The sequence below is a fragment of the Homo sapiens genome, chromosome X (assembly GCF_000001405.40).
Source record: "Homo sapiens chromosome X, GRCh38.p14 Primary Assembly".
Classification (NCBI taxonomy): Eukaryota; Metazoa; Chordata; class Mammalia; order Primates; family Hominidae; genus Homo; species Homo sapiens.
Genome location: NC_000023.11, coordinates 28,051,452 through 28,064,314, shown reverse-complemented (window position 1 = coordinate 28,064,314; position 12,863 = coordinate 28,051,452).

The window sequence follows — 12,863 nt, the reverse complement described above, 5'->3', positions numbered from 1 at the left end:
TGCCCCCCAACCCCAAATTTAGAACCACTAGTATAGATGTAACATGCATGAATCATCACCCAATCCTTTCTTTTGGCAAACACATGAACATTAAACCACTAAACTCTGTAACTGTGAATAGTTTTATTTGTATAAAGTATTTGTTATAATTTAAGTTTTGAAAAAAATTTAAAAATTCATCACTTTTTAAATAATTTTGAGTTTAATACTTTGACACCCATTAGTAATTGTATTATGTTTTTTAAATTTGATACACAATTTTGACTTCTATAATAAAATACTTACTTAAAAACATGTGAAGACAATTTTATTTTTGTATTTAAAAAATGTAATTAATTTTACAGCAAGTAAATAAAATTTTGTATACTATGAATGCAATTATATTTAAATATTATTTTTAATCCTTTGGCTTAAGGTTATCAGAGACAAATTATGTGAATGTAAAGATTATGAAAACATAAATGATTTTGCTGAAGGAAATGACAGGAAGAAAAAATAAATGTTATGGATTCATAGAGAATTGTGATTCAATTTATATAGAGACTCCAAACATGCAAACTTAAACAATATGTATTGGGAATTCAATATGTATGTTAAACCTCTATGAAAAGGCGAGATATGACAAATATTAAATTCATGTTAGTGTTTGCCTATGAAGCTAAACAGAAGGAAATGGTAGGAGGGACTTCCCTACAAATCTAATTTAATTTGTAAATTAGATTACAAATTTAAGTGTAATGTTTTATTTTTTTCAAATATGAATGAATAAATGGATGTTCACATTATCACTAATCTTGAAAACTTATAAATTGTGTTTAATATATATTGAACTACTTAATATATAACAATAGTATATGTTAACAAATTTACAGATATTGTTTATAAACTATTTATATTTAACATTAGTTTTAATATTATAAATTAGTAACTATCAATATATAGTTTTAATTATAATATATATATTAACATTTCCAAAGTATCTCATATTTTATATTAAAGGCACAAGAAAATACACATTTAATGAAATATGAAGTTTAATTTACATTAAATATTTAATTTTTATAAATATTATTTGATATATGCTTAATATTTAATAAAAACTTGAAAGGCAGATGATACAAATATAAACCAATGGGAACTCTGGGGGAAATTTTCTATAAAATTAATACCTCAATTATAAAACAAACTATAATATTCCATTAGTTGAAACAATTGATAAAATATAAGAAAATAAATCCATTTTCTCTTGATACTAGAAACATCCTTTTGAATTATGAAAGTTCATTCTAAAGAGAGAAACGGGATCTTTCATTTTGATGGAGAAAGTTCAGAAGACTTTACAATGATTGTATCACATAACATAGATGTTAAACCCTTGCCAACACAGACGTGAAATGTCCATACTATCCAAAGGAACATACAGATTCAATGCAATCTCTACCAAAATACCAATGACATTTTTCACAGAAATAGAGAAAAAAAAAAAAGCCAGGTATGGTGGTTCATGCCTGTAATCCCAGCACTTTGTGAGGCCGAGGTGGGTGGATCACTTGAGGTCAGGAGTTTGAGACCAGCTTGGTCCAACATGGTGAAACCCCATCTCTACCAAAAATATAAAATTTAGCCAGATGTGGTGGCACATGCCTGTAATCCCAGATACTCGGGAGGCTGAGGCAGCAGAGTCCCTTGAACCCGGGAAGCAGAGGTTTCTGTGAGCTGAAATTATGCCACTGCACTCCAGCCTGGGTGACAGAGTGAGATGCTGTCTCAAAAAAAAAAAAAAAACAGTCATAGAAAAAAAAATCTTAAAATTAGTATGGAATCACAAAAAACCTTGGATAGCCAAAGGAATCCTGGGGAAAAAGAACAAAGCTAGAGGCATCATACTACAGGATTTCAAATTATACTATAAAGCTATAGTAAACAAAACAGTATGGCAGTGGCATAAAAACAGACACACATACCAGTGGCACAGAATAGAGAGCCAAGAAATAATTCCATGCATTTACACGTGGATTTTCAAAAAAAGGTGCCAAGAAAACGCAATAGGAAAGGATAATCTCTGTAATAAATGATGCTGGGACACTGGATATCCACATGGAGAAGAATGAAATTAGACCCTTATCTCTCTCCATATACAAAAATCAAGTCAAAAGTTATTAAAGATTTAAATTTAAGACCAAAATCTATGAAACCAATAGAAGAAAACAAGAAAACAAACTCCATGACATTGTTCTGGGCAATGATTTTTTTTTTAATGTAACCCCAGAAGCATGGGCAAAAAAAATGGAAATAGACAAATGGAATTACATCAAATTAAAAAGTTTCTGCACAGCAAAGGAAGCTATCAACAGAGTGAAGGGACAACCTACAGAACAGGAGAAAATATTTTCAAACTGTATATATGATAAGGGTTTAATATCCAAAATATATAAAAAATAACTCAATAGAAAGAAAACAGATGACCCAAGTAAAAAATGGTCAAAAGACCTGAATAGACCTTTCTCAAAAAAAGACATACAAATGGCCAACAGGTATACAGAAAATGCTGAACATCACTCGTCATCAGAAAATGCAAATTAAAACCACAATGAGATATCATCTCACCCCAACTGAAATGGCTATTATTAAAAAGACAAAAAATAACAGACGTTGGTGAAGACGCAGAGAAAAGGGAACTCTTACACATTGTTGGTGGGAATGTAAATTAGTACAACGATTATGGAAGACAGTATGGAGTTTTCTCAAAAAAACTAATAATAGAACTACCAAATGATCCAGCAATCCCACTACTGGGTATATATCCCAAGTAAAAGAAATCAGTATATCAAAGAGATACCAGCACATGCATGTTTATCACAGCACTATTCACAATAGCAAAGATAGGGAATCAACCTATATGGCCATCAACAGAGGAATGAACTTAACAATTGTGGTATATATACACAACAGAACACTACTGGGCCATAAAAGAGAATAAAATCATGTAATTTGTAGAAACATGGATGAAACAGGAGGTCAATCTGTTAAGTGAAATAAGCCAGACAAATACCACATGTTCTCACTCACACGTAGGAACTAAAAAATCTTAATCTCATGGACATAGAGAATAAAATGATAGATATCAGAGGCTGGGAAGGGTGTGAGGGTGGGAAGGGGGATGAAGAGAGGTTGGATAATGTATACAAACATACAGTTAGTTAGAAATAAGTTCTAATGTTTTGTAGCAGACTACGGTGGCTATACTTAGTAACAATATTTTGTGTATCTCAAAGTAATGAGAAGAGAGGACTTGAAATAATACCAACTCATAGAAATAATAAATACTCAAGGTGATGCATACCTCAAATATCCTGATGTGATTATTACACGTTCTATGCATGTAATGAACACTCACATGTACCCCATAAATATGTAATGATGGGACCCTGAGAGGATACTACAGTGGAGAGGGGAACAGGAAACAGTGAAAAAAATAGAGGTGTGAAATTTAAGATGAGAACTGAAACGTTACAATTGTACTGATCCAAATGGGGATTTTAATTGACATTAATCAGAGTAATTTCATTGAAATTGTTGGGACAAGACAATTGTTGAAATATGAATGATAGATAAGGAAATCATGTCAGCAGGCACACGAAAGTAAAACAAAACCATTTCACTAGCTAATAGGAAGGATCCAGAAGAAATTGTAAGACTATATAAAGAAGATAATAGTTAAACATAAGGTTGCTGAGAAAATGGAAGGTCACAGCATTAAAGCAGTACTGGTGAATCTAAATTAGATTCTGTAAATAATTTGCTGTCAACTTTTACTGCATTCCATGGCCTCTACCCTGATTACCTATTTCAAAATACATGGCTTCGGTTATAAGATAGGCCAGCAAGAGAGCACAGCTGAGTTAGGTAAATCTGTTATCTCTCTTGGAAATTTTTTCAAAGTACATATTGTATGAGACAATGAACCAGTTACACCTGGCACATATTTGGCATTCAATAAATGTCTAAAGAACATATTAATAGATGTCATTTTGGTGAAAGGTTAGAAGTGTCAGTTTGGTATTTCATAGAAACTTCGATTTAACCCATTGAGAACTGTTGGGTTATTGTCCCCTGAGTCTGTTTGTTTCGTGCCTTCAACATTTACTGGCTAAATGTCACAGGCTATTTCTGTTTTCCTTGTGTCCTTTCTTGCATGCCAACATGATGCAGTATTTTGGCACATTTGCTAACTTAAATCTTCTGTCCCTAACTGTAATCCAGAATCAATGAAAGAAGCATAAGTAAAAGAAAGAACATTAAATTCATTTGGAATTCTTCATTTGAATAATGGACCAGATTCAGCTACTGCAGTGTAGTATCATGAAACTGCCACAGAGATTCATGGTGATTCTGAGGACAGCTTATTACCTCTTAAAATTTGGCCACCAAGCCAAAAAGATTAAACCTCTGTTCTCAAGGTTGTGATTTAAGAAGGGAATCCTACTCAAATCACTTTTTTTCTTCCAGAGAGGAATCAATTCACATGCTGTGCTTCTTTTATATATTCACTTTTAATTTGGCAAATCTTCAGTTTATATGCTCAAGTTTAATCTGGTTAAGAGTTAGAATAAAGTATATTTAACATCCTTCAAAGTACAGCATATGTATTAGGCACCACTTGAATCAAAGCCAACACAATAATTTTATGGCTTTAACATTTTCCAGAGATGTCAAATAGTTTTAACTATCCAATACATTATGTATACTCAGGAAACATAACTCTACAGCTAACTGATGACACTGAAGACCAGGAAGTAGAATGCTTAAAGGTCCTTTATGTATTTTGCTTCATTTAACCACAATATCTCCTTAAAATTCAGTACCAAAATTTCTCCACTTTTTTATGTTCAAAATTTGAAACTCGCAAAAATACAGAACTTGGTCGCTTCCTAAAGAAGCAAAGCCATAAATATTAGGTAAGCTAGATACAACTGCTTTTATGCCTCCCCAATATTATCTTTTCAAATACACAGCAACTTAAAGATTATTTCTCTTTGACTCAAAAGTAAATAGGCATAGAATGGTGATTCCCTCCGTGGACTACGTGTTTATTTAAAAAAATAAACAAGTCATAGGCCAGTAGTTATGTTCTATAGCTTGCTGAATGAGTTTTCCTTAGGATGATAAAATACAACCACTGACTCCACCAGTTGGCAGTCTGCCATGACAACTGACAGCAGCCCTGATTATAGTAACAGAGAAACTTATATATGCTGTTGCATGAAATCTGTTGTCCTGCAGAATGCCAGCCATGCACATTACCCTCCTTCCTGGCACAGGCTAGCAGCCATCTTAGGCCTTAAAGCAATCACCTCTGTTCCTAAGCTTAAAACCATAGTCAAAACACTTATGTATTATTTGCTTTTAACCACCCAAAACACTGAAAAATTGCATATATATAAATGACATATTGAACATATATTTATATTTCATTAAAGCCAAAAGTTTTTCCCAATCAGAATAGTAACAATTGACTGTGAAACTGAGGGGAAAGAGTATAGAAAGTTTGTGTGTGTATTGATTGCGTTTGTTTTGCTTTATCACCAAATACTGAACTTCATTACCAATTGTCTGTTACCCTGTATAAAAAATGGTGATTGTACTTTCTTCCTGAACATATTACAAGTTCTGCGAGAGGGTTAAAGCAATTTTACACTTACTAAAATAATAAAAAATTAGCTAAAAAGAAAGACACAAGGTAAAGAGGGAAGCCAAAAGTCTCAATGAGCAAACACATTTAAATTAGTATAATTTAAGGCAAAATAAAAAAGATACGTTACACAATTTTAGGAATGGGAAGCATGTAGTGAGTCTTTTAAATCAATAAAGTATACACATGTAAAACTGTAGGAAAAATTACCACTTCCATCTTTATTTTCTTGCTAATTGCAAAGTAGATATTAAAAATTTTTGAGTTAAAAATCTTATGATCATTATAATTTGTTCAATCTACATAAATTGGGCTACCACCCATGTAAAGTATTACTTTAGAAAATGTAGAGTTCTTCATAGGAAGTAAAAGACAGAAGCTCTATCTTCCATGAGCTAATAATAGAATAAGATAAATGATATATCAACTACTCTCTATCTCATCAGTTATATAAATAAATATATAGATGCATATATGTTCATACATATTTATATCTAAATGTATATATTTACAAATATATTCATATATAAATATAAATTCAAATTCATTCATGCATACCTACCCATACGTATATAGAAATATAAATTCAAATAAAATATAATATTAACAAAGTTTCTAGTTTAGCATAATATTCAACAGATTTCATTTATTGCTCTTGCATTAATTAAATATGTTTTCTACCACTACTGAAGTCAGAGCTGGCATTAAGAATGAAATATGATACCAATCATTTTATTAATTCTTAAAAATACTCAAATAATAAAAGAAGAAGACATAGAAATGGCCAATAAGTATGGGAAAAGGTGCACGACATCACTGATTATCAAGGTAACACAAATCAAAACTACAATAAGATATCACCTCACACTTGTTAGGTGGCAATTATCAAAAACACAAGGGATAGTAAGTGTTGTCAAGGGTATGAATAAAAGATATTTCTATTTTTAATTTTATGAGGGACTTCTATACTGTTTTCCATAATGGCTGTACCAATTTACATTCCCAACAGCAGTTCCTTTTCCTCCACACCCGCGCCAACATTTGTTTTCTCTTGCCATTCTGATAATAGCCATCTTAATGGGTGTAAAGTGATATCTCATTGCGGTTTTCATTAGCATTTTTCTGATATTTAATGATGTTGAGCACCTTTTCACATACCTATTAGCCATTTGTGTATCTTTTAATCATAGAAAACTAAAACTGAAAACAAGCACTTGAATAATTTTTCCACCTCACCAGAACCTATCCACTTAATTTTTCAGGAAAAGATCAAGTTCTAGTTCCCTTTCCATTTCTATAGCAATGAAGAAAGGGCAAAATGTATATAAATGGTACATTTTTGGGATTCTACTACTGCTAGATGAAAAATGCTGTTTTAAGCATTTCCCAGACCATAATTTATAAAATTGAAGACTAACATTATATATTTTTTAAAAATTTTATAAAACAAATTATTAGGGCTTGACTTTCCCATTTATTGATGTTCTTGCTTACTCATCATCCCAGACAGTATGTACAGTTCTGAAGTAAACCGATATTTTAAAATTAAGAGATCTATTGCTCTGATGCTATTTCCACTCTCCTTCCTTTCTCGTCAGAGTTTATTTTGCAGACCCATTATTTACGTTCTTTGTCTGTTCGAATTGTGACAAGTGTCCGATGATTTATTCTTAATCAATAACCAGGAAGATGAAATTTGGATCTATCAATAAAAAAAGGACTTGCTACCTTTAGTTAAAGAAGGAAATAATGGTTCACTGAAAAATGCGTCTTGTTAATGCTGACTCACACAATTGGACCCCATTATGTAAATAGAATTATGAAAGATTTCTGTTTTGCATGTCTTTGAAGGGAGGAAAATGAGTGCTTTTTTAAAAAGCTAGTGGAATAATGGCCATGTTTGACATAATGAAAATTTTCATCTGAGCTATAAACAGCAAAATGAGGACATATACATTAGAATGCCTTTGTAGTAAAATATATGCTATGAACTTGGAAGAAAAAGCCAGAAAAAGGAATCCATGGAAGTTTAAGAGACTAGGCTTGGGAGATGTAGAAATAAGCACATATTAAAGATGTCTAAATAAATATAAATCATTTTATAGAAACATCAAATGTTAGGCTATGTATTTGGAGCTGTGTTATACTTCTGCACTTAAAATATTATATATTCCTTTGCATAACACTCGAGTTAGAAATTTTTGTAAATAAGTTAGGGGATCTAAGAATGGACTTCAAGAGCTGTGGGAACCTCCTGAAATTATAGTGTACCATCTGCCTGGAATTTAGTAGAATTATATAGGATGTTGGTAGTGATGGGAATATATGAAAATTTGAAATTTAGATTCAAGTCAGGTTGTAGGGGGTTGGAGGTGGTTCTTGAGCATTAGGTGAAACAACTATACAAACTTTACAAATAATATTGGTAGCTAATATAAATTAACTGTTTATTATTTTACAGCATTTATTTGAACTAATGCAACTGATTTTCCTAACAATCTAATGATGCAGGCACTATTATTATATCCAATTTATAGATAAGTAAACTGAGGCATAAGAAGGTTAAGTAATTTATTCAAGTCCACAGCTAGTGAGTGCTAGATTATACCAGGTGATGGCAAAAAAGGAAGAGGATTTCCTAAAGTAGATTCAGAAGAAAACAGAGGTTCATTTCTGTTTTTTTCACCATTTTCTCAGAATCAGACCACAGGTTATAGCCACATATAATTTTTTTCTTAAAAAGATTTGCAAAATATTCTCATTTTTATTTAACAAAAATGGCACCAAGATAACAGAGCATTTTGGGTAAGGGTGAGTAACTTACATTTATTGAACATCGGTTATGTGCCAAACATACATGTTGTCTAATTAAATTATTAAATTGGCACTGCATATTGGGTGTTAACCCCATGTTTTAAATATGAGAGCACTGAAACCAAGAAAAGATCAGTAACTTCCAGGGTCACAAGCAAATGAAAGGCAGACCTAGAATTCAAATATAGTTCTAATTGACTCTAAAACCTGTCTTTTCAAAAATAACATGCTGCTGCCCAGAGAGAGACAAAGCAGATTTACTTGGTGTATTAAAAATAATCCAATTTGAAAATAATCACCTTGCACAATTATGAAAGAAAATCACAGCAAGAAGAAAAAATTAAAACAACACTACCAGATTTGGTTAATAAGATGGTTATAATTAACAACTATTATCAAAAGACAATTTTTAACACACTAATTCCACTCAATGCTATGCTATGCATTGTGTTTAGATTCCAGCTGGTGATATAACTGAATTTTTCTAGCTGAAGCACAGAAATAGTTTTAGTAATTTTAAACATTCCTTTCTTGCCTATAACTGAATATATCTCCAGGAAAGATATCAGTCCATAGTACGCATATTTTAAGTATAGTGGATGATGGGATGATGATAAGGCCTTTAATTTCTAGAGTTTTGTACATTTGTGAGCTTGAAAAATGCACTCTGCTATTTTGATTTAAGACTTGATTAACTATAGTGTATTTAGGGACACTGGTAAACTCTCTTCTGTTTATGACTTCAACATAAGATGTATAAAATGCCAGTTATGAGTAAGTTTTACCTTCTATTTTTGTAAAAAAAACTTATCAAATTAGTTATTTCAAAGATCAAGAATTTATAATAAGTACAGTAACATTCAACCAATTCATTTAAAACCTTAGTTTGAATCACCCTTATTATATTACATTATTTAAATACAGAAAGAACATACACACTTCTTACATGCTATGGCATCTCTCTCTCTTTTTACAGTTTTATACACTTCTTTGGAAATTAAAGTAGGTCCTAGAATAAAATAATTTCTACTTTAATTAATTGCCTAAAATGAAATGTAGGCACACAAATCTTTGTACATAATACAGTCTACCATCATTTGCTAATCAATTTTTAAAAGGATCTAAAATTCACATACATTTTATAGATACTATTATATAGGATATAACAGATCTATGTGTCCCACATTTTTTGCTGTAGATCAATTTGTGAGTGAATTATGGTTTTCTATATATTTGCATTATAAAATTGGAGGAAAACATCTTTGATAAGACTTGAAGCAGTAGACACAATAAAATTAAATTTGAAATTTCAAGGGAGTATAAAAAAGTCACATGTTGAAAGGAAAGAAGATAATATTCAAATAAATATTAGATACTACTATTGTCATTGTACTAATTTTATGAGCAATACAATATCTGTTTAGTGAGGAGTAACTGTTTAGATTCAAGAAAATCAGGAGTCTTAATGTGGTGGTTTTAAAATATAAATTCTTTGACACTCTTCCCTTCTAAAGGTGGAATCTAATTCCCCTCCTCCTTAATGTGGAGAGTTCTTCAGTGATCACTTCTAAAATACAGCATGTAGTGGAAGTGATACTATGTGACTTCCAATGCTAGGTTATATAAAGTATAAATATGTCTGGCTGTCTTTCTCTTGGATAGCTCATTCTTGGAGAAGCCAGCTTCCATATTGTGAGAACATTCAAGCAGCTCTGTGGAGAGAAAATAAGTTCCCCTGCTAACAGTCAGCACCAAATTGGCAGCCATCTGAGCGAGCCACATTAGAAGCAGATCTTCTAGCCCTATTAATCTTTCAGAGACTGCAGTCATACGAAGATGTGAGTGCAGCTATCCAGTCTGGGAAACACGAATGTGAAGGCTGAAAAAGGCAACATGTCTTAGCATTTAAGGAATGTGGAAGAAATCTAAAGATGGTCAATACAACTAAAGCATAATGAAAAGAGGGTGAGTAGAAAGAGGAACTAGATCATGAGGTAAGCTGCTGAGTTGAAATTCAGTCATTTTTCACTTTGAGGTACCCAGTGTTCATCTCAGTTCTAGTAACTCAATGTCTCAAAAAAAAAAAAAAGAGCACAGCTTATATCAGAAAAGCTACAGAAACAGCCATTTCTACTTATTTAGAGCATTTCTGGAAAGCACATTCACATTGCACTTGCTTGACATTTAATCAGATATTTAGATTGGCAAAAATGATAGGTTGAAGTTGCTCACTGTAAGTCATAACACCTCATTTGATACCTTGCTGAATAATAGATGAAAGTATTATATCCATTTCAATTCATTCTTTCAATTCATGTCCATGAGTACCAACTAAAATATGATTGTCTTTACAGGCAAAAAAGTATAACCTCTGTAATATTATCAGAACTTCATTGCAATTATTTTTTAAGATATGAACTCAATAACCCCTTATATTTTTCTTCCTCTATCATTTATTTATGGAGAAAAAATCATAATTTTAACACTCAAAGATATATTCAGGTTTAAAATGGAGGATATATTCATGGTTTTAATAAAAATAAAAATCCATTTGCATTCTCATTTTAAATCAGGGTTGCTAGAACATTAAAGACATTGATTCCTTGGCTATTACTAAAAAGGAAAAAAAATAACAGACATTGGCAGGGCTGCAGAGAAAAGGGAACACTTATATACTGTTGGTGGGAATGTAAATTAGTTCAGCCACTGTGGAAAGCAGTTTGGAGATTTCTCAAAGAACTAAAAATTGAACTACCAGTCAACATAGCAATTCCATTACTGGGTATACACCCAAAGGAAAAGAAATCATTCCACCAAAAAGACACATGCACCTGTATGTTCAATGCAGCATTATTCACAATAACAAAACATGGAATCAACCTAAGTGCCCATCAAAGGTGGATTGGATTTAAAAAATGGTATACATCATGGAACACTATGCACCCATAAAAAGAAGAAAATTATGTCCTTTGCAGCAACATGGATGCAACTGGAGGCTATTATCCTAAGCGAACTAATGCAGGCACAGAAAACCAAATATCGCATGTTCTCACTTTCAAGCGGGAGCTAAACACTGGGTACACCTTGACACAAAGATGGGAACAACAGACACTGGGGACTACAATATGAGGGAGGGAGGGAGAGGAACAAGGGTTGAAAAACTACCTTTTGGGTACTATGCTCACTACCTCCGTGATGGCTTTAATCATACCTCAAATTTCAGCATCACACAATATGCTCATGTAACAAACCTACACATGTACCCCTGTATCTAACATAAGAGTTTTTAAAAAAGGATATCGATTCTAATCCTACTTTACATATAGGCCCCAATTCTACTTTCTTAAAACAGGGCAGATTGGGAGAAGAGAACCCTTCACCTCCAGGTATGTTAGCAAATCTACATGAGTCATGTCATGAAGCCTTACATGCAATCATATTCAAGATACACTTTAATTGCGATGCTAAGCTGCATATTATGGGAAAAACCTCAGAAATAAGGGAGATAAGTGTTACCCTAAATTCAGCCCAGAAAGAATCACAGCAGGGATATATAAAACTACTTTAAATATTAGTATAACTCTTGGTTTTGATTAAACATATTTTATATACATATAATATATTGATATAACTTAATACCTTAGGTCAAGCTCCATATATTTATTTATTATTAATAAATAAATAAGATAATCAGATTTAATAAATAAATCACATCATCCTTATGCTATACTTATAATCAAAAAGATGTTTTCAAGAACTTCAGCTGTCATCTTTGGAATATGATCCCTTTGGGTAGATGGGCTTTCATACATATATATTTTTTTCATATGTATATTTATATTTCATATGTGTGGCCAGGCGTGGTGGCTCACGCCTGTAATCCCAGCTCTTTGGGAGGCTGGGGCAGGCAGATCATGAGGTCAAGAGATCGAGACCCTCCTGGCCAACATGGTGAAACCCCGTCTCTACTAAAAATACAAAAAAAGTTAGCTGGGCTTGGTGGCGCATGCCTGTAGTCCCAGCTACTCAGGAGGCTAAGGCAGGAGAATCATTTGAACCCGGGAGGTGGAGGTTGCAGTGAGCCAAGATTGTGCCACTGCACTCCAGTCTGGCAACAGAGCAAGACTGTGTCTCAAAAAAAAAAATTAATACATTTATTTATGGGGCTTAACTGAAGGTATTAAGTTATATTAGAAGTGGTTTAGGTTGGGGTTCATTGCCAATGAAAATAAAGAAGAAGAGTTGAAGTAGGAAATGTGTGTGGAACTCACCCAAGCACTGTCTAGGGAACAGTAAGTCTTTATCATAAATATTATTGTGGTACTATTATGAGGATGAGTGTTTAAGCTACCTTATG